This window comes from Homo sapiens, chromosome 13 (assembly GCF_000001405.40).
Source record: "Homo sapiens chromosome 13, GRCh38.p14 Primary Assembly".
Lineage (NCBI taxonomy): Eukaryota > Metazoa > Chordata > Mammalia > Primates > Hominidae > Homo > Homo sapiens.
Genome location: NC_000013.11, coordinates 49,627,444 through 49,650,043, shown reverse-complemented (window position 1 = coordinate 49,650,043; position 22,600 = coordinate 49,627,444). Strand labels below are relative to the sequence as shown.

General features: G+C 45.7%; 1 protein-coding gene and 1 long non-coding RNA gene across 2 annotated transcripts, besides 3 other annotated features; one reads left to right on the top strand and one right to left on the bottom strand.

The window, feature by feature from the left end:
- The first annotated feature begins 7,633 nt into the window (after positions 1-7,633).
- Positions 7,634-14,576, top strand: LOC105370205 (uncharacterized). The gene is made up of 2 exons (XR_941964.3): positions 7,634-10,176; positions 12,926-14,576. It is a non-coding gene; the product is annotated as an uncharacterized LOC105370205 (long non-coding RNA).
- Positions 14,189-14,238: an enhancer, noted in NCBI's record as "active region_7753". NCBI's record gives its function as "activates an Ori minimal core promoter by ATAC-STARR-seq in GM12878 lymphoblastoid cells {active_cell/tissue: GM12878}" and the evidence as "EXISTENCE:reporter gene assay evidence [ECO:0000049][PMID:35858748]".
- Positions 16,017-16,311: a silencer, noted in NCBI's record as "tiled region #6161; HepG2 Repressive non-DNase unmatched - State 22:ReprW". NCBI's record gives its function as "represses a minimal TATA promoter and a strong SV40 promoter by Sharpr-MPRA in HepG2 cells {active_cell/tissue: HepG2}" and the evidence as "EXISTENCE:reporter gene assay evidence [ECO:0000049][PMID:27701403]".
- On the bottom strand, positions 16,172-21,537 carry ARL11 (ARF like GTPase 11). Its single transcript, NM_138450.6, has 2 exons — positions 21,429-21,537; positions 16,172-19,614 (listed from the first exon to the last, which is right to left on the bottom strand). Exon 2 carries the CDS (start codon positions 19,594-19,596, stop codon positions 19,006-19,008), a length of 591 nt encoding a protein of 196 aa, NP_612459.1. The 5' UTR covers positions 19,597-19,614; positions 21,429-21,537; the 3' UTR covers positions 16,172-19,005.
- Positions 21,236-21,285: an enhancer, noted in NCBI's record as "active region_7752". NCBI's record gives its function as "activates an Ori minimal core promoter by ATAC-STARR-seq in GM12878 lymphoblastoid cells {active_cell/tissue: GM12878}" and the evidence as "EXISTENCE:reporter gene assay evidence [ECO:0000049][PMID:35858748]".

The window sequence follows — 22,600 nt, the reverse complement described above, 5'->3', positions numbered from 1 at the left end:
AGGACAGCAGAAGAGAGGATTCCCCTGTGTGTTCACATCTGCCACACCACCCTCACTATTCCCACCCAGATGATACCTAAAATGTGCAGCTTGCCTTGGGGCTGGGAGCCCATTGGACAGAGATTTTCTTGCTTCTCACCTTTGAAAACAAGAATTTAATTCTTATCCCTATACTCCACTCACACACATATTTCCCTTCTTCCCTCCTCCCAATATAAATATTTAGTTAAATGAGTATTTAGTATTTACATTATCGTGACTATGGAAAAATTATCCACAAGTGAGTCATTTAGGATACTATGATTACATTTCTTTTCAGGGCAACATTTTGTTTTCCCAAGAGCTGATCATTGTCTTTTTTTTTTTTCTGTTTGCTTAGTTTTCTGCATACTTATCAATAATTCAATCCCACACTCTGCCAAAACGGAAAACTTCCCCGATATAATCAAATAGATAGGTAAACTGTTGGTGGTGATTGGTTGGTTAGCTGGTTGGTTTGCAACATCCTTCCTCTAGGAACAATTAGTCCCCTTGCTCCCATCTATACTGGTTGTTCTGGAAGCCTCTGCTTAGCCACAGTTCTGGAAATACCTTTGCTTCCCTCTAGTGTTGAATTCCACGTTGCCTAGATGCCATGTCTGCATCTTGGTTCATTCTTTTAAGGGAGCAAAACTATAGTCGCTTCCTAACAGAAAGTGAATGAGCCCTTGCATGTCTGAGAAATGTCATTATGCTATGCTCACAATTGATTTATAGTTTAGGTATAAAATTCTAGGTTGGAAATAATTCCTCTTCTGAATTTTTACTTTCTATTTTTAAATAATTTTGGACTTACAGAAAAGCTGCAAAGACACTGCAGAGTTCTATGTAATGTCTTTATGCAGCTCACATAGCCATAGTACAATGATCAAAACTAAGAAAATAACTTTGGTACGCTACTACTTACTAAACTACAGACTTCAGATATAACCAATGTTTCCAATGTCGTTTGATTTTTCCATGATCCAATCTGAGATTCCACTTTGCTTTGGTTGCTAAGTCTTCTCAGTCTCTTCCTGTCCTAGGCAGTCTTTCTTTGTCTTTCATGACTTTGACAGTTTTGAAAAAGACTGGTCAGTTATTTTTTTGGAATGTCCCTCAATTTGGATTTGTTTGATGTTTTCCTCATGATTAGACAGTTATGGGTTTGGGGCAAGAATACCATGGAGGTAACGTGCCCTTCTCAGTACATCGTGTTGGGTGCTTGATGTTGATCAGACTTATTACTGGTGATGCTAACCTTGATCATGTGGTGAAAGTGGTTTCTGCTAGTTTCTCCATCATAAAGTTTTTTCCTTTTGCAGATAATAAATATATTAGTGGACATACTTTGAGACTATGTAAATATCCTGTTAATCCTCAAACTTTTACCAACTAATTATAGCATTCATTGATGAATCTTGCCTGCAACAATTATTACTGTAGTGTTCTAATAGTGATTTTCTTTTTTCCTCATTTCTTTTACATTTATTAATTGGAATTCTCTTGTAGGGTAGAGCTATTTCTTCTCCATTTATTTAGTCATTCAATTATTTATTTTTATTAGCACTGACTCATTTATTTTATCCTATGGGTCACTGGACAATTTTGTTGTTCAAATTGCCCTCGGAAATTAGAAGGCTTTGCTCCATTATCATTTATTTATTTATTTATTTATTTATTTATTTTTATTTTTTATTTTTTATTTTTTGAGACAGAGTCTCACTCTGTCGCCCAGGCTGGAGTGCAGTGGTGCGATCTCGGCTCACTGCAAGCTCCGCCTCCCAGGTTCACGCCATTCTCCTGCCTCAGCCTCCAGAGTAGCTGGGACTACAGGCACCTGCCACCACGCCCGGCTACTTTTTTGTATTTTTAGTAGGGACGGGGTTTCACTGTGTTAGCCAGGATGGTCTCGATCTCCTGACCTCGTGATCCGCCCGCCTTGGCCTCCCAAAGTGCTGGGATTACAGGCGTGAGCCACTGCACTCGGCCCCATTTATTTATTGTTTTAGAGATAGGGTCTCACTCTGTCACCCAGTTTGGAGTGCAGTGGCACCATCATAGTTCACTGCAGCCTCAAACTCCTGAGCTCAAGCCATCCTCCTGCCTCAGCCTCCCAAGTAGCTGGGACTACGTAGGTGCATGACACCAGGCCTGGCTAATTATTTTATTTTTTGTAGAGACAAGGTCTCGCTTTGTTGCCCAAGTTGGTCTCAAACTCCTGGCCTCGAGTGTTCCTTCTGCCTCAGCCTCCCAAAGTGCTGTGATTACAGGCGTGAGCCATGGCACCTGGCTCCATTATCCTCTTTTTTTTTTTTTTCTTTTTTGAGGCGGAGTCTTGCTCTGTTGCCCAGGCTGGAGTGCAATGGTGCAATCTCAGCTCACTGCGACCTCTGCCTCTCGGGTTCAAGCCGATTCTCCTGCCTCAGCCTCCCAAGTAGCTGGGATTACAAGCATGTGCCACCACACCCGGCTGATTTTTGTATTTTGGGTAAGAATGGGGTTTTACCATGTTGGCCAGGCTAGTCTCCAACTCCTGACCTCAGGTGATCCACCTACCTCGGCCTCCCAAAGTGCTGGAATTACAGGCATGAGCCACTGCGCCCGGCCCTGGCTCCATTATCCTTTAGATTTTAGTGTTGCTGTTAAAAAGTTTAATGCCATTCTGATTCCTGATCTTTTGTATGTGAACTGTTTTCCTCTTTTATGATGTTCAGAAAGTTCACAATATTGTGCTTTTGTGTTTGTTTTTTAAAAGGTATTTTTTAAATTGTATGTAATTTTATATTTAAATATATCATATATTCAAGGTACACAAACTAATATTTTGATATACTTATCTTGATGTATATAGTGAACTGATTACTAGAGTCACGCAAATTAACATACCCATCATCTCATATACTATAGTTTCATTCTTTCTTTATTTCTTCCTCTTTTTTTTTTTTTTTTTTTTTTTTTGTGAGACAGAGTCTCACTCTGTCGCCCAGGCTGGAGGGCAGTGGCATGAACATGGCTGGCTCACTGCAGCCTCCACCTCCTAGCCTCCTGAATTGCTGGGACTACAAGCACAAGCCACCATGCCCAGCTAATTTTGCTTTTTTATTTTTGGTAGAAATGGGGTCTCACTATGTTGCCCAGGCTAGTCTCAAACTCCTAGGATCAAGTGATCCGCTCCCCGCCAGCTTCCCAAAGTGCTGGAATTACAGGCATGAGCCACAGCACCTGGCCTGTTCTTGCTTTATTTCTCTGATAATTCACGCCCTCTACTTTTTCTCTTTTGTCTTTCTGGAACTGCCATGATTCTGATGCTAAACTTTTGGACTAATTGTTTAGTTTTCCTGTGTTTTCAGTTTCTATTTTTCTTTCTTTTCTTTTTTTTTTTTTTTCTTTAGATGGTGTTTTGCTCTTTCACCCAGGCTAGAGTGCAGTGGCACGATCTCGGCTCACCGCAACCTCTGCCTTCCAGTTTCAAGCAATTCTCATGCCTCAGCCTCCCAAGTAGGTGGGATTACAGGCTCGTGCCACCACGCCCAGCTAATTTTTGTATTTTTAGTAGAGATGAGGTTTCACCATGTTGGCCAGGCTGGTCTTGAACTCCTGACCTCATGATCCGCTTGCCTTGGCCTCCCAAAATGCTGGGATTACAGGTGTGAGCCACTGCACCTGGCCTCAGTTTCTATTTTTCATCTTTTTGTTCTACTTTATAAGAAATTTTTGTTTGTACTTTACCTTCCAATTTTGCAGTGGATTTTTCAGTGTGGAGCCCAAGAGCACTATCTTGTTTTTGAAATTTTTTTTTGGCCAGGTGCAGTGGCTCATACCTGTAATTCCAGCACTTTGAGAGACTGAGGTGGGAGAATCACTTGAGGCCAGGAATTCAAGACCAACCTGGGCAACACAGCGAGAGCCCATCTCTACAAAAAAATTGTTTTTTAATTAGCTGGGTGTGGTGATGCACACCTGTAGTTCCAGCTACTTGGGAGGCCGAGGCAGGAGGATTGCTTGAGCCCAGGCACTTGAGGCTGCAGTGAGCCATGATCATGCCACTGCACTCCCCTGGGTGACAGAGCAAGACCTTGTCTCAAAATAAATAAATAAATATTTTTTTCATAGCAATCTTGTCAATTATGAATGTAATATATATTCTCACTTTTAAGGCTATTTATTGTTTAGGGGAAGTTTTCTTTTGCTTCCTGCGATGGTCTCTCTTTCCTCTGAGTCGGCTTTTTCCTGTTTGTTTCTGTCTCCCTCTTTCATGTTGAAAGCTTTTTCCTGTTTGTTTCTGTCTCACTCTTTCATGTTGAAAGCTTTTTCTCCGTTTCCTGTCATCCTTTATTGTCCATATCTGAGTAAGGCATTGCGCAGGATATTCACACTGTGCCCGGGTGTGTTACCCGAAGGTCATTGGCGAAGGGAAACGTGTGCCTTTACAGTGGAAAGATCCAGCAGTCACTGCCTCCACCAAGTGATCAAACTTCGCTTCACTGCTAGTGACCTATGCAGACGCTGTCTCCAGATACAATGCGACATGAAGGATAGAACTTCAGCTCTGTGTCAGCCGGGCGCAGTGGCTCATGCCTGTAATCCCAGCACTTTGGGAGGCTGAGGCAGGCAGATCACAAGGTCAGGAGATCGAGACCATCCTGGCTAACACGGTGAAACCCCGCCTCTACTAAAAATACAAAAAATTAACCAGGCGTGGTGGCACGCGCCTGTAGTCCCAGCTACTTGGGAGGCTGAGGCAGAAGAATTGCTTGAACCCGGGAGGCGGAGCTTGCAGTGAGCTGAGATAGCACCACTGCACTCCAGCCTAGGTGACAGAGGGAGACTCCATCTCAAAAAAAAACAAAAAAAAAACAAAAACTTGAGCTCTGTGTCTTGTCAAAGGTGTCTGATCTGAATCTAGTCAAGACTTTAGATCTCACTTCCAGTTTATGGGATTTACAAGAGATAGAGGTACAAGTTAAATGACGGTACAAGGAAACAATCAGACAAATCAGATATGAGATGCTCCTTCCACTAAATGGCCTGGCCTACTCAAAAAGTCAGCATTGTGGGGAAAACAAGAGGTTGGGAATATTCTAGTAAGGAGAATAAAGAGACATAAGAGCCAAATGCAATGTGTGCACATGGAAAAGACATTCTAGGGCCAATGCAGGAGGCTAGAATACGGATTCAACATGAGACAACATTAGAAAATTGTGTTAAATTTTCTTGGGTGTGTCATGGATTTAGTTATGTGTGATAATGTCCTTATTCTGTGAAGATAGATACTGAAATATGTATGGGAAAATATTATGGCTGCAGCTCATTTTCAAATGGTTCAGAAAAACAATATACACAGCTGCGCGTGGTGGCTCATGCCTATAATCCCAGCACTTTGAGAGACCAAGGCAGGTGGATCACCTGAGGTTGGGAGTTCGAGACTAGCCTGGCCAACATGGCAAAACCCCATCTCTACCAAAAATACAAAAATCAGCCGGGCCTAGTAGTGCATGCCTGTAATCCCAGCTACTCAGGAGGCTGAGGCAGGAGAATCACTTGAACCCAGGAGGTGCAGGTTGTGGTGACTCGAGATTGTGCCACTGCTCTCCAGCCTGGGCAACAGAGTGAGACTGTGTCTCAAAAAAAAAAAAAAAAGGAAAAGAAAAACAACATACACAACACACACATATCTAAAGATAAATATGGTAAGGTGCTAACAACTGCAGAACAGAGGGAGTGGGCACATTGTACTCTTTGTGTTGTTTTTCTGTATGTTTACATTTTTCCATAATAAAAGTGTAGGAAAAAAGGGGAAGGTAACAAAAAGCTGACAGAAGGTTGTGTGAGCCCCGTGTATGTGGCCAGGACTCGTCAGTTGGTGAACCAGCAATTCCAGCAGGGACCTTCGGATGCTAGTGCCGTCAGTCTTCTCCCCAGCCAATCAGCACTCCTGGAGAGGAGCTCCCAGCCCCCGCCTGGGGTGTGTGGGCCTCACTGCCAACACATGGGAGCTGAATTCAGATTTTCACTGAATTCTCTTGTTTTCTTTCTTTTTTTTTTTTAGACAGTATCTGGCTCTGTCACCTAGGCTGGAGTGCAGTGGCGTGATCTCGGCTCACTGCAGCCTCAACCTCCCAGGCTCAAGTGATCCTCCCTACCTAAGCCCCAGCCCCAAGTAGCTGGGACCACAGGTGCCCGCCACCACACTCAGCTAATTTTATTTTTTTTTTAGAGACAGGGTCTCCCTATGTTGCCAGACTGGTCACAAACTCCTGGGCTCAAATGATTCTCCCGCCTCAGCCTCCCAAAGTGCTGGGATTACAGGCATGAGCCACCACGTCCGGCCTAAATTCTCTTGTTTTAATAGGTGTCTCACCCCATCCTCAACTGGGGAAAGCCTCCTAAAGAAACCCACAGCCTTCTGCCCGGGAGCAGAGGGCAGCTGCCTGCCTAAGTAAAATGGGGAAGGATTCCGAGGGTCTCTTTTCCTCCAGACTTTCCCCCAGTCCTGTTTCCAGGCCCACTTCGGTGCTCCTGATCTGCCAGCCTGAGGTCTCCTGGGGTTTGGTCCCTAAGGGCTTACTCATGACTGTGAGGCTGTGTCAAGCGTGGTCTCTAGAGCCGAACCTCGGAGAGGTTCAGATTCTGCTGTGTAACCTGGGGCAAATTAAACCTTTCTGTGCCTAGTCTCCAATATTAGGGTACAAATCCTGCTAGCATTTTTGGGGGATCGCGAAAGTGAATATACCTTCAACCCTTAGATCAGTGGCTGGCACGGAGTAAATCCTTGAGGCTACACACACACACACACCCCAACCCCCGGCAGATGTAGGTTTCTGATTTCTCTGGTCTGTGCGGTCACTTCCCATTTTCTGTAATTATATTGCTATCTCCAGTCTGGTACTCTTTCTTCTGCTTTGCCTTTGTAGGTTTTGGCTTTTTTTTTTTTTTAATCCCTTTCTCTCTCTGGTGAGACATACATATACATACGGTTATATATACAGTTAAACATACATATACATTCACAACATTAAGCCACAAGTCTCAATGACTCTCTTTTTCTTCCTTTCTTTTTCTTTCTTTCTTCTTTTTCCTCTTTCTCTCTTCTTTCTTTTCTTTTCTTTTTTTTTTTTTTTGAGATGAAGTCTCGCCCTGTCGCCCAGGATGGAGTGCAGTAGCGCGAGCTTGGCTCACCACAACCTCCGCCTCCCGGGTTCAGGCCATTCTCTGGCCTCAGCTTCCCAAGTAAGTGGAATTATAGGCATCTGCCACCACGTCCAGCTAATTTTATTTTTTTAGTAGACACAGGGTTTCGCCATGTAGACCAGGCTGGTCTTGAATTCCTGACTGCAGGTGATCCACCTGCCTCGGCCTCCCAAAGTGCTGGGATTGCAGACATGAGCCACCACGTCCGGCCAGCTCCCTCCCTCCCTCCCTTCCTTCCTTCCTCCCTTCCTTCTTTCCTCCCTTCCTTCCATTCTCTCTTTCTTTCTTTCTCTTTTTCTTTCCTTTTCTTGCTTTCTCTATTTCTTTCTTTCTTCTTTCTCTCTCCTTCCTTCCTTCCTCACTCTCTCCTTCCCTCTTTCTCTTTCCCTCCCTCCCTCCCTCCCTCCCTTCCTTCCTTCCTGCCTTCCTTCCTTCCCTCTTCTCCTCTTTTCTCCTTCTCCTTCCTAAAGATCTCCTTTAGGTAGTGTATTCCTGAACTCACAGGGCACTGATGACCAAGCCTGGGGAGTGAATGTCCATACTTCTGAGTCCTGTCTGGAACCAGCAACTAATGTTATCTAGAAAATGCATCAGAAGTGCCGTAAGCTGAGCCTGCTGCTTGAGTGTTCCCTGAGCTCCTTCCCAAAACCTCTTGAGTCATCACTGACTGAGGGGAAGGAAGGGTGTGGGGTGGGGCCACCCCAAAGCTTGTGTAAGAACCTTGTGACCTACAGCTGTGGGGGAACAAAGGAACCCTCAGGCTTCTGCCCCAGCTGCACAGGGTTCTTGGTTCCTAGGGCTCATCCAGTTGTCCTAGGGAACATAATCCTATCTTTAAAATGGTAGAAGCGGTACCTTTGCAGATGACTTGCTTGAAGAGTTTTAAACCCTGGCTTAAAAGAATGGATTCCCTCCCCCACTAGGGTTAGGCCCATGGAATTTTGCAATCATACTTTCTCGGCCTGGGTCATGATGCTGTCCTTCTGCATTTGGAGAAGCCTCACTCGAAGTGAGGATACAACTGAGGAAAATGTGGCTTTTCCAGTGAAAGGCTGAAGCAACCCTCTGGCTGGTTGTGCCTTGGACCTCAGCATTCTCTGAATGACAATAAAGAGTTTGTGCTGCCTTTTTTCCATTTGCCATTCCCCACCCCATCCCAGATCCATTCTCCAAACTTGTCCACCCTGTTTTACACTCTAGGAGGCCAATCTCTAATGGAGACTTGGCCGAAATCTCAGGGTCAGAGGAAGGAGAAGCCGGATTATTATTCCTTCCCTAGCCTAAACGGGTGCTCCTGGGCCAGCTATAATATTTAGTTCTGTGGCTCCACAGCTGGAGGCCACCCTTCCAAGTGCCTGGAAAAGGTGGCAGCCCCCTACCCAGGAGGTCCTGCCTGTGTGGATGATAATACCTATTTGGTCCAAATTCATAATGGCCTTAGGCAAAGCTGTGAAGGTCCCGCCCTTTCTCTTTTTGGCAGCGTCAGTCCATCATTCTTTCAGGCCCTTCTCAACATTTAGCTTTGCTGCCTCACAAACGCTGTCCTGAAAAGGGCTGGATAATTCATTCTCATTAAAAGGTAAATGACTATCCCTGCTGTCCTTCTTCTAGGGATGTTTTCTTTGAAAAGCTGAAGTCCAAGGAATGAAGCACTCATTGTAGAGTTTCAAAGAGGAGCTGAGTGTGGGATTCAATTTCCAGTCTTCTGAAATCCTTCCTGTCTTTTCAACTTACCAGCCTTTGCTGGAGGAGGGTGCATTCGAAGTGCGTGGAGAGGCTCATGCTGGGCTTTCCAGTACTCAGACTGCAAGAGCTTTGGTCTAAGGAGGGGGAGAGGAGAAGTCCTGGGATAGAAGTGTTCATTGTGGTAGAGAGGAGGCTGGGAGCTAAATGTCCAGCAGCCTCCAGAATGCTTAAGAACAACAGTCTTAGGCCCTGCACTTCCTTCGGCCCCCACCCCCGCACTTTCCATCAGCCAAGGCACCCTCCTTCCCCCAAAACAAGTCTCGTTCTGGAGAGTTCCAAGGATGGTGGAAGGGAACATCAAGAAGAGCCTAGGCCCTAAGAACTCTATGCTTCATTTACATTTTAACATCCATCAGTGGGACTTAATATTAATAGCTCTCCCTTATTGAAAGCTCGGCTGTAAGTTAAGGGCAGGGACTGGGTTTATATGTCCTTCATCTGTGTATCTTTTAAACATAGCTCAGTGATTTGCTCAAGAAACACGAGTCAAGGCCTGGCACAGTGGCTCATGCCTGTAATCCTAGCACTTTGGGAGGCCGATGCAGGAGGATCACTTGAGCCCAGGAGGTGGAGACCAACCTGGGCAAGATGGTGAGACCCCCATTTCTATTTTTTAAAAATCTTAATTAGCCAGGCATGGTGGCCCATACCTGTTGTCCCAGCTACTCAGGAGGCTGAGGCCAGAGGATCCCTTGGGCCCAAGAGTTTGAGAATACAGTGAACTGTGATCACACCACTGCACTCCAACCAGGACAACAGAGCAAGACCCCCATCTCTAAAAATGTATAATACAATTAAAAATAAAGAAATACAAGTTGACTAGATGAACACAGGATCTCACTTAATTCTCACAAGAACCTTGTCAGGTACTTCCTAGCATCATTTCCATTCTGCGGATGAGGTAGTTACGGCTTAGAAGGGTTAAATAATTGGCCCAAGGGTACCCTATTGGTGAGGGGTAGGGCTGGTGTTCTAGTCAGTTCTGACTGACTTCAAGCCCAGACTCTAAGGCAAGACACTCAACTGCATTTAGACAATGCCAGTTTGGACAAAGGGTGGTCTTGCATCTCCCTTTTTGTAGCAATTCTCTCACAGAAGTATTTTTATAACTCTGAGAAATCTTTATATACATTTCTTTATATCCTTTATATTTTCTCTCCAGGTTAAGCCAGCACTTAACACCACATGAAATTGAAGTTCATGGAATTCAAAGACGAGGTAAAATAAAAATTGCAAGAGATGTGGTGTGTGATGTTTCTAATCCAGAGATTATTTATAATTAGGCTGCCTCCTTTTATTTGAAGGATTGGAAGTGCTTTTATGAGAACCAGTTTGTTTAGGTTTGCAATTTCATGCTTGAAGGAACCTGCAAAAATATCAGTGTGCCCCAGATCAGGGGCAAGCAGGAGGACTCATTGTCAGGTTCTAGTTCGAGATCTAAGGCAGAATAATGCCATTTCTCAAGGAGAATTTAAAAATACTTATCATCTATAGCTACACAGCCAAGTTTCCTGGGGGTGAATGTCTCAGAGGAGTGGAAATCAAGACAATTAAGTGAAAATAAAAGGCTTTTTTCTTTTCTAAAATTGTTTTGTGGCCAGGCATGGTGGCTCACCCCTGTAATCCCAGCACTTTGGGAGGCCAAGGCAGGAGGATCACTTGAGCCCAGGAGTTCAAAAGCAGCCTGGGCAAAAAGCAAGAACTTGTCTCTAATAAAAACATTTTTTTTCTAAGATGGAGTTCTGTTCTTGTTGCCCAGGCTAGAGTGCAATGGCACTATCTCGGCTCACCACAACCTCCACCTCCCAGGTTCAAACAATTCTCCTACCTCAGCCTCCCGAGTAGCTAGGATTACAGGCATGCGCCACCATGCCCAGCTAATATTTTTTTTTTCTTTAGTAGAGACGAGGTGTCTCCATGTTGGTCAGGCTGGTCTCAAACTCCCAACCTCAGGTGATCCTCCCACCTTGGCCTCCCAAAGTGCTGGGATTACATGCGGGAGCCACCACGCCTGGCCTTCTAATAAAAATTTTTAAAAAATAACCAGACATGGGGGGCATGCCTGTAGTCCCAGCCAGTCAGAAGGCTGACATGGGAAGATCACTGGTGCCCACGAAGTTGAGGCTGCAGTGAGCCATGATTGTGCCACTGCACTCCAGCCTGGGTGACAGAGTGAGAACCCGTCTCTAAAAATAAATAAATAAATAAATAAATAAATAAATAAATAAATAAATACTTGTTTTGTTTTTCCTGAGCTGCTGCTCTTATGAGCCATGTGGGAAGGAAACTCCAGGTCACCCTTCACACACTGTAAAAGACTTTCCTTAGTGAGTTCAGGAACAGTCACAGGTGTTCATACTCTTGCCCATGGGGAGGGCCGCAAGTCATGTTGAACTGTGTTCATCATTTCCTAACTAAGCACCCTCCAAAAACCACCTTGAGTTTTCCCTTGCTCACTAGGATGCCTTTGAGTTGAGCAGTTGATCTGACTGATCCTGGGTGTGGCTGAAAGCTCACAGAGTCAGGGGACGATGGGCCTGTGGAGAAAATATTATTAAAAGTCAACCTCTGCCAACCCAGGAAATCTCTCCACAAAGGGAGTGGAGAAAGAAAACTGTTTCATTAGTGAATAAGCACTCAACTAAAATGTAATGCACATCCCACACAATCCCCTAAGAGACTACAAAGACAGAAAGAGACCTCACCCTTTTATAGAGTCATGCAGAGGTGACCTATTCCAGACAGGTTCTCCACATAGACAATAGCTAGTCAGTCCTCAAGTAAGAGGACTTGACAGCCCCATTTGTTGCACAGAGTTTACCACAGATTCACCTGGTAACTGATGTCACCATCTATGTTAGCTAATTGGCTTTATTCAAAGGAAAAACAAACCTCTCATAGCTTTAGGACAGGAGGTAGTTTTGCAACTTAGAGCGAGGCACCTGCCAGGTCAGGCTCCTACCCTCCCATTGAAACTCTTGATGACTACGTTTCAAAAGGTTGGCTCCTTGGTCCTTGAAAAAGATATTTCTAAGTCCTAAAGCTGCCAAGAGGCTTATTTAGCTTCTTAAATTTATTATTTATTATTATTTTAAAGCACAGGGCCCCTGTTGCTGCCCAGCTGGAGTGCAGTGATGCAATCATGGCTCACTGTAACTTTGAACTCCTGGCCTCAAACAGTCCTCCTACCTCAGCCTCCAAAAGCGCTGGGGATAACAAGCGTGAGCCCCCTCACCTGGCCCTTATTTAGCTTTTTAAAAGATTTACATACATCTCAAAGAGACAGAGGAAAGAACTTAAAAGTTGAAGTTTCCTAAAGTAAAATCTCTAAGAAAAGGGAGGGAGGTGAAGTCTCTTCCCTTATTTTCCACAAGGAGAATTAAAACTCTTATTTTTTTAGTTGATACATAATAGATGTATATACTTTTGAAGTATATGTAATAATTTGGTAACATTAATATAATCAAATCACGGCAACTGGAATATCCATCACCTTAAACACTTATCCTTTCTTTATGCAGCGGAACATTCAAATTATTCTCTTGTAGCTTTTTTGAAATGCATATTAGATTAATGTTAATTATAGTCACCCTACTGATCTATCAAACAGGCCTCTTCTTTCAATGTGAATTTGCAGACTAGGCGCAGTGGCTCATGCCTGTTATCCCCACACTTTGGGAGGCCAGGGCAGGAGGATTCATTGAGGCCAAGAGTCTGAGACCAGCCTGGGCAACATGGCAAAACCATGTCTCTACAAAAAATTAAAAATGAGCCGAGTGGGGTGGCTACTCCACGTAGTCTCAGTTACTCAGGAGGCTGAGGTGGGAGGATCATTTGAGCCCAGGAGGTGAATGCTGCAGTGAGCCAAGATCGCACCACTGCACTCCAGCCTGAGTGACAGAGAGAGACCCTGTCTCAAAAAAAAATTAAAAAAAAATTTTTTTTTAAATTGTATTTGCTCTTACAGGCCCAAGAGGCAGCAGCAAAGGTCAGCATCTCCACCACCCCATCAGGTCTTGCCCATGTTGACCCAGGTGCTGGGACAGGAGGCACACACTGAACTTACTGCTCCCGTTGACTTCTCATCTGGTTCCAGGTCTCCACTTTCCACCCCTTTTCCTCCACAGACTAAAAGCTAAGTCATTCTGGGTGTGACGTGTGTCTAGAAAGAGTGTGTCTGGCTTCTTGTTTTTACCACAAAGTGTGCCTGAGATATAGGTCTGTGCCGCCATTTTGGCTCTCAAGCCAGGGAACCTCTTGGTGTTCTCATTTTGGAATTTTATTCTGGAAAGTTCGGAGGACCCAGGGACTCCTTACTGTGATACCCGATTCTCTGGCTTTAATCAATTATTCATTATTCACTCAGGTACTTAATGAACAACTCTCAATATCTAATTTTGTTCCAGGCTTTGAAGAGGGTCAGAAGGATGGAAGACTTGGCCCCTCCTCTCTAGTAGTGTACACCATGCCTGAGGAGACCACATATCAACATGGAACAGCCCCGGTTAGGGCACAAGGGCGCTGGGGCCTGGACAGTCATGCCATGGGAGCTCAGTGGGAGGCTGGACTTAGGCTGAGGTGCGTGGGGAGAGCTTCCTGGACAGCTGGGATCTAAGGATGCTTAAATCATGGACAGGAAAGCAGCTGCAGCCTAACGAAGAGCAGGGGTGTTAGGAGGCTTCCCTAAAGTTCTGTGACCCTGTAGAACTGTTGCCACTGCTATGGTCACTGCTGCAACTACAAGCACTGCATCTGGCATGGGAGCTTGATGGACCAGAGCACATGCAAAGAGGGCATCGGAAATCCCAGAAGGGTATGCGGGACCTTGTACCCTGTGGGATTCCCATGCTTACTTCAGGCAAACAGTAAGCCAGTAAGTGGATGGCTGGCAGAGCTTCCCCCAGACTCTGAGGCTCTCAAACCCATCTTTCGTGCAGAGAGAATTGTGTGGTTATCATCCCCAGAACTCACCTGCTGAGTAATTCGATGCGAGTGATTTGATGTTCAGTCCCTCCTAGCAGGAGGCAGACCAGCAGGGAGTTACAGTTAACACTAACTGGGCATGGCTATTGAGGCAGGAGAGTAGGGTCTGGAGGCAGGGAACCTAAGGCTGATTCGCGCCGAATTCCTAGAACTGAATCAAAAAGAAAAGCCCACCTCTCCACACCCAAATAACAAAAGGATCAGAGGCTACTCCCTTTGCAACCCCCCAACTTCCCCTGCATTGCAGATGAAAACTGAAAGTACCTCTGATTGGTCCCCTCCTGCAACCAGTCAGGCTGGTCACAGGCCAAGTCTTCATTTGCAGAGGAGTATAACTTTGTAAGTTCACTTCAGCCTCTGATTGGTCACTTTCTGCAATCAATCAGACATTTGCATAGGGTGTAACTTTGTATCTTCACTTCAGCCTCTGATTAGTTGCTTTCTGCAATCAATCAGACTGATCGTGGGCCACTATTTCATTTACATAGGGTGTAAACCAAGTAACCAATGGAAAACCTCTAGAGGGTATTTAAACCCCAGAAAATTCTGTAACCAAAGCTCTTGAGCTGCTTGCTCGAGCCCCCTCCCACTCTGTGTCGCGTACTTTTGTTTCAATAAATCTGTGCTTTTCTTTTGTTGCTTTGTTTGTGCTTTTTGTCCAATTCTTTGTTCAAAATGCAAAGAACCTAGACAGTTATGACTTTTTGTTTTCATTGTCCTTTTTCCAAAATTGTATCTGAGGGGAGACTTCCTGGGCTCTGTTAAGATCAAGCACATCTGCCTTCAGGGATGATGGGCTTGAGGCAAATACTCAAAGCCACCTGAGGGTCCTCTTGTCCACTGTGTCTATTCCATCAAGGAGCACACATTTGGAGCTGGGGAAGAGCATGGTCCATCTTGGTGTCAGAGAGGAGGCTACTGTCCTGGCTGAACCAGAGGGATTGCCAAGAGAACAGGAAAAATCGAGCCTATGGCATGAAAGGGCAGCTGTGGTGAACTGTTTGCGCAGACCAATGTGTCAGTAGTGTCTACCTGGGTCAAAAGACACCTCTGGTCTTTCTTTAACCTGTCTCCTTGCCTTCAGGATGCTACCTCTACCCAAATGCTGCTGCCCCTGATATCTTCCTAAGAACAGATCTAATCATGTCACCATTCTGCCAGCACCCCGGGAAGGCTCAGGGTCACATATCAAAACAAGTTCAGGACTTCTAGCATTATGGCAGATGGCCTTCCCATGAAAAAAAAACATAGAAATGTTGGGTAAACGATAACAACAAAAGTTTTTTTTAATGTGTGCTGTCTTTAAACAAAATAAAAGGAAATCCTCACGTGGTAGAAATGGAAGAGAGAAACCACAGCCAAAGCAGTAAGTATAAGCTGGAAACCTAGAGCCCATGGAAATTGCAGAGGAGCCAAATTTAGGCTCTAGAGACTGGGCTGAAATTAAAGCACCTGTGTGAGAATAGGACATGTGGCCTTAGGCTTGCTTGGAGGAGAGAAAATGGTTTTTTCATTTGTTTGTTTTAAGACGGAGTCTCGCACTGTTGCCCAGGCTGGAGTGCAGTGGTGCAATCTTGGCTCACTGCAACCTCCGCCTCCCAAGTTCAAGCAATTCTCCTGCTTCAGCCTCCCAAGTAGCTGAGATTACAGGCGCCCGCCACCAGTCCCGGCTAATTTTTTTGTATTTTCAGTAGAGACAGGGTTTCACTATGCTGGTCAGGCTGGTCTCGATCTCCTGACCTCATGATCCGCCTGCCTCGGCCTCCCAAAGTGCTGGGATTACAGGCATGAGCCACTGCACCCAGGTAGAAAATGTTAATCTGAGCTCAGCAAAAAAGAAGAGCATCAGAGAGATGACCCCTCCTTAAAAGAGGGTTCAAAAAATGCTGCCCACCAGCTCAGGGAAGTCTGAGGAGGCAGGCTGTCTGTCTTACAACATAAAGGCAAGGAAAAAAAGTCACCTGTCACATATGGAATCCCTAAGGCCTGTGCATTGAATGGGTACACAGTTCAGATGTATACTACCTCTGAGGTCCAGTAGCCCCAGGCAGAGAAACTGACATAATATTTGGTCTAAAATAATTGAAATCCCCAGGATCCTAGTAGATACCACTCTGTAGAAATGTTGTTACAGACCAGGGCACATGGGAGTCACACAGGATAAACAACTCCTACTGCAGATGAGCTCACAATCAAAAGTGACAAATCATGCAAGGAAATGAGCCTCCATGAGTGAAAGCCAACAAATATATCCGGCAGGGTTGTTGGGAGTACAGATAATGGAACAATCTGAAAGCAGCTATAACCAAACACGTACCCACCCTGCAAAAGCTGAACCCAGCTGTTCCAGCCCCGTCCCATCCTGGTTCTTCAGCGCTCACCTTCTCCAGTTCATGGCATTCCAGTCCTTCTGTCATGTGGACTCAAAATCTTGAGCCCTCTTCAAATTCTTCCTCTCTCAACTGTTTTTCTTAATAATAGCTCTCAATTTTCTCATCTCTCTTCCACTCCCTCCTTTGCTGTGTGATGGTCATCTAGCCGGTTTCCTGCCTTCCCAGCTCCAAGGTTCCCTTTTCTCTTTATTTCACCTCCACACTACCACAAAATTATCCTCCTAAATGGCAAGTCCCATGATTTTTCTTCCTTGACCCAAACCCCTGATTATTGAAATTCAAACAACCTTGCCCAAATTGGACCTAAACTCCCATTCCAGTTTTGTTTTCTATCGTGATGTCAACTTCACCCACCCTTCATCCCAAGCCTCTGTTGCAAGTACACTGACTTACTTATCTTTCTTACACCTCCCTTCATGCTTCCAAGCAGTCTCTTCCCTCTTATTAGAAGGCTCTCCCCATCATGTCTGCTGGCTGAAAGCCTACCTAGCTTAAACCTTCTAGAGGCATGATGTTGTAGAAAAATGCAGCATTAGCCCTAAACAGATCTGATTTCAAATTCCAGATATGTTACTTTATAACTCTGTGCCTCAAGCAACAAGAGGTCACACCTTCTCTGAGCCTCAGTTTGTAGTTTTATAAAATGGGAATATATATATTTTGCAGAGTTGTGAGAATTAGAGACAGTCTATGTAAAACACCAAGACCACAGTGCTTGGTCCAAGTAAGTGCTCAATAAACAGAATAAACAGTTGCTGAACTGAGTCTCTCTCCTCACATTTTTATGGGAGTAATGTCTTTACTGTCTCACCTTCCATGAGGCCTGAGGCCTTATCTCATTCATCTTTGCATCCCTAGTGTCTAACACAGCGTCTTGAAACATGTTGACTGACAAGTACTGGAAATAACCAAGCATGCCTAACCTGGTGTTAGAAGAGGGGCCTGGCAGATCTCAGATTTTAGGAGGGTACTGATGGCCAATTTATACTGCATTACTCCAGAGATAGAGAGAACCAGTCCAGGATAAGAAAGAATATCTAACATTCAGAGCTGTTTAACATGAGAACAGGTGCTAAATATAGGCCACTTGCCATTAAAAAACTCAGATTACAGAAAGTGTTCTGGGGTTGGATGAGGGATACAACAACCACATCAGTGATTGTTAACTTTTGGGAGTCACAGATGTCTTTGAAAATCTGGTAAAAAGTTCTGGATCTCCTTCCCCGGAAAAATGGTCCAAAGCGTAACATTTTGCAAATAATTTCAGGTGCTTCATGGATGCTAGGTAATGATCACCTGATGAGCCTTCTAGGATGCTATGGTCAACCTTCCTTTTCCCTGTCAATCATGAGACAGAAGGCATTCGTCACTGTCATCTGTATCTTCAGAATTCACAATTCCCACCTAAAGCACATGATTCATATTCGAAAGCTCAGTGTTTTTGCCACAAACTAAATGCTCTGTTTTTTTTGTTAAATTAATGAATAAATAAAATATTTTATTGATCTGATCTTTAACGAAAGATATGTGCTACAAGAAGGAGAAAAGAGAAGGAAAAAAAAGAAAATGAGTTTTTGAAAAAGATCAACACAAGATGTCATAAAATCGGGAGAGGCTAATTAGCATCAGAAAAAAAACAAGGATAAATTTTGGATGGTGTGAACTTCCAGCCTCTTGCCCAGGGGTGAGCGTCCCAGGGCAGGGAACGTCTAACCTGCAGACCCCTGCTGTTGTATGGGCCCTGCCTAGCTTGCCCTTCTGAGTGACAGTGGCACATCCCCAGGGGCCACTGGGGAAAATCACTCATAAGGATCCGCGATCCATTGTGACATGTCCAGATGATATTTGAATTTGACTTTTTTTTTTCTTTTTGGAGACACAGCCTGTCTTTTTCACCCAGGCTGGAGTGCAGCAGCACAATCTCGGCTCACTGCAACCTCCACTTCCTGGGTTCAAGCGATTCTTCTGCCTCAACCTCCTGAGTAGCTGGGACTGCAGGCGTGCACCACTATGCCTAATTTTTGTATTTTCAGTAGAGATGGGGTTTCACCATGTTGGCCAGGCTGGTCTTGAACTCCTAGCCTCAAGTAATCTGCCCTCCTCCGCCCATGAGCCACTGCACCTGGCCTCAAATTTGATTTTAAAACCTCTTTCCCTATTTGAGAATTTAGGTCTCTATTATTATGCAACCAGTGGCTACTCTATTATGACATATTGCTTCATTCACACTTGGTAACGAGCTATTAAATGAAGTATGTTGAGATTTTTTTCTTAGAGTATCATCATTATTATTATTATTATTATTGAGACAGGGTCTCACTCTGTTGCCCAGACTGGAGTGCAGTGGCGCGATCTTGGCTCACTGCAACCTCTACCTCTTGGGCTCAAGCGATTCTCCTGCCTCAGCCTCCCAAGTAGCTGGGACTACAGGCACATGCCACCATGCCCGGCCAATTTTTTGATTATTAGTAGAAATGGGGTGTTGTGATGTTGCTCTCCAACTCCTGGGCTCAAGGGATTCCCCCACCGTGGTCTCCCACAGTGCTGGGATTACAGGCATGAGCCACCGGGCCAAGCCAGCATTTCTTGTTTGATAGACTAAGCGTAAATTTCTCAAGGATCAGCTGGTTCTTCTAGTTTGTATGAGCAAAGATATGCTGCTCTGTCTGGATCAAGATCTCTTGCTGTCTCCGCGCTCAGCCCCATGGGCTCTCGCCTGCAGACACATGCAGCTGCGAGATTTCAGGAGGCTCCACAGGCTCTGCAGGGCCTCGGGCAGCCCCTCCCCAGTGAGGGCACTGCAGCCCCGGAGCTCCCAGCAGTGGTCCTGGAATCTCTCTAGACTCAGCCTGTTTCTGATCTTAAGCAGCGGAAGTGCATCAGGTGCCTCCTGCTTGTTGGCCAGCACCAAGAAGGGGACGCCAGCCATGTTGGGGTCGTTCAGGACTTCTGTGAGCTCAGCCGCCGACTCGGGTAAGCGGGCTTCATCTGTGCTGTCCAGCACGTACACGAGGATATCTGTGCCTTCCAGATAGTCCTTCCAGCTGGCTCTGAGCGGGGCCTGCCCCCCAACGTCCCAGAGAGTCAGTGACACGTGCCCAGGAGCTTTCAGAGGCTCCACGTTGAAACCAACAGTGGGCAGGGTCTCCACCAGCTGGTGGCCCTTCAGCTTGTAAAGGAGCGTGGTCTTGCCCGCCGAGTCCAGGCCCATCATCACCACCTGGGCTTCCGCCTTGTGACCTCTGGAATTCACAGAACCCATGGTGGCCACTGCTGAATCCTAGGGGAGAAAGGCCAGGGCACACATCAGCTACTGTCTTCTGAAGGAAGACAAATCCATCCTGGTGCAGTGGCTCACACCTGTAATCCCAGCACTGTGGGAGGCCAAGGCAGGAGGATCACTTGAGCCCAGGAGTTTCAAACAAGCCGAGGCAACAAAGCAAGGACCCGCCTTCTCTACAAAAATTGAAATTAAAAATGGAGCACAAATCTGTGCAGGCAAACAACGGAAGAGTTTTTCCAAAACAGGAAAAGTCTTCACAGGGTCAGATTTTAAACAGATGCCTGGGCTTTGAAGGAAGTGAGGATGTGTGAGTCACCATCAGCTAACCTGTCTCTGGGTCAGATAAGAGTGGTCCCTGAGCAGAGAAGATCAGGGGCCTCCTGGAAGACATTCCTGAGGAGTTAAAGCAAAGAGGCAAAATGAAGTTCCAGTCAGACAGAGCTGGTTCAGTAGAAATTACAGAACGATGTCTTCAATTCTTGCTGGTCTGTGGCTTCTAACCTCTTCTCCTCCTATAAGCCTAAATGCTGAAATGGAAGCTAAGCTGGGTTCCATGCACAGAGTGAGAAGGATGGTTCAGCTCACGGTGACCTCTCTTTAGAGCTTCCCAAGGACCAGTACTATGTCTTGGAAACACAGTGAGGTGTCACTTAATGACGGGGACACATTCTGAGAAATGCTTCATTAGGCAATTTCATCATTTTACAAAATCATAGATTGTAATTACACAAACGTGGATGGTCTAGTCTACTCCACACCTAGGCTATATGGTATGGCCCATTGCTCCTGGGCTACACACCGGTACAGCATTCCTGTAATGGGTACTGTAGGCTATTGTAACACAGTGCTAAGTATTCGTGTATCTAAACATAGAAAAGGTAGTGGTTGCACCACAACACTAAGCTGAAAAATAGGAATTTTTCAGCTCTGTTATAATCTTATGGGACCACCGTTGTATATGTGGTCTGTCGTTGACTGAAATGTCTTCATGCAGTGCCTGACTGGGGCTATTTATAAATACTGTTTACTGGGGGCAAATTTATGAGTCAGAGCAAAGCAGTTTCCTCCACTGTCTTACCAAGGTCAATGACTTCTACAACACTCCACATGTGCTTTTTTGTTTGTTTTTGGGTTTTTTTGTTTTGTTTTGTTTTGTTTTGTTTTGAGACAGGGTCTCACTCTGTCGCCCAGGCTGGACTGCAGTGGCATGATCACAGCTCACTGCAGCCTCGACTTCCCAGGCTCAAGCCATCCTCCCACCTCAGCCTCCCCAGTAGCTGGGACTATGGGCATGTGCCATCACACATTTTTGTTGTTGTTTTGAGACAGGGTCTCACTGTGTCACCCAGACTGGAGTGCAGTGGTGCAATCTTGGCTCATCACAACCTCTGCCTCCCTGCAACCTCCGCCTCCTAGGTTCAAGGGATTCTCCTGCCTCAGCCTCCCGAGTACCTGGGATTACAGCTACTACTACCACCCAGCTACTTTTTGTATTTATATTAGAGACGAGGTTTCACCATGTTGGCCTGGCTGGTATTGAACTCCTGACCTCAAATTATCCACCTGCCCGGCCTCCCAAAGTGCTGGGATTACAGGCGTGAGCCACTGTGCCCAGCCACATATGTTTTTAAAGAATCCCAAATTTTAAGACATAAGACCTGTTCCCAACTTAGACGATGCCTGCGTGGAACAGAGAAGAGACATCTCAACTTCCGGGAATGGGGGTGGGGGGATATGAGCTGCCTCTGGAAGGAGGTAAGCCTCTACTCATCCCTACTCCCAAGGGTAGAAAAGTAAAAAGTTAAAATTACCTCTGTGTTACTATTAGACTGCAGCTGTGAGATCCTGCGTGGCTCTCCTCCCCTATGGAGCTGCTTTCTGCTGGCCAGGCATGACCCAAGAGCGAGATGGGAAGGAAGCAGAGCAGCCGTTGCTGCTTCTCCTTTTTGTGCTTCCTTTTCCCAGGTGGCTGGGGGGCGGGGCTGGTGTCACGGCCCCTCCCTCAGCCCTAGGGCGCCTCAGAGCAGTCATCTTGCTGGGCTTGCCACAGAGAGGTCCCCGGCTCTGCAGGTCCTGGCAGAGCAAGGCCCAGTGACAGCTCCATTTTTTAGCAACTCAGACTTGGGTGCCTGAAGGAGGGAGCACGAGCTCGGAGCTGTGTCCAAGCGCAGCCGCCTTCTCTCTTCCCTCAGGATCCTCTGAGCTCCTCGCAGAGAATTCTGACCTCTTCCTTTCAGTACATGCCTCAAGGTTTTTCTGGTGGCTAGAGATTCTCTGATTTGCTTGGAATCACACATGGTTTGTTGTTGTTGTTGTTGTTGTTTTGTTTTGTTTTCTATTTGAGACCGAGTCTTGCTCTGTCGCCCAGGCTGGACAGCAGCCTCCGCCTCCAGGGCTCAAGCGATCCTCCCTCCTCAACCTCCTAAGCAAGTGGGATTATAGGCAGGTGCCACCATGCCCAGCTGATTTTTGTATTTTTCATAAAGACAGGTTTCACCATGATGGCCAGGCTGCACATGTGTTCTTTTAAAAGCTGCCTATGGCCAGGCGTGGTGGCTCAGGCCTGTAATCCCAACATTTTGGGGGGCTGAGGTGGGTGGATCACGAGGTCAGGAGTTCGAGACCAGCCTGGCTAACATGGTGAAACCCCGTCTCTACTAAAAATACAAAAATTAGCTGGGCGTGGTGGCACCTACCTGTAGGCCCAGCTATTTGGGAGGCTGAGGCAGGAGAATGGCATGAACCCGGGAGGCGGAGGTTGCAGTGAGCCCAGATCACACCACTGCACTCCAGCCTTGGTGACAGAGCGAGACTCTGCCTCAAAACAAAAACAAAAACAAAAAACAAAAAAAGCTGTCTACATATGATGAAAACATTCTTTAAAAGGTATGTATGATGCAGATCAACCTTTAAAATTGTGTTAATGTAGTGATTAAAGTTACCGTTCAATTTTTTCTTGAATGGTGTCACTGTGTTTTTCCCA

What these genes read in the sequence shown, in the direction of transcription:
- ARL11 (NM_138450.6), bottom strand. Translation starts at nt 19,596, where the DNA reads ATGGGTTCTGTGAATTCCAGAGGTCACAAGGCGGAAGCCCAGGTGGTG.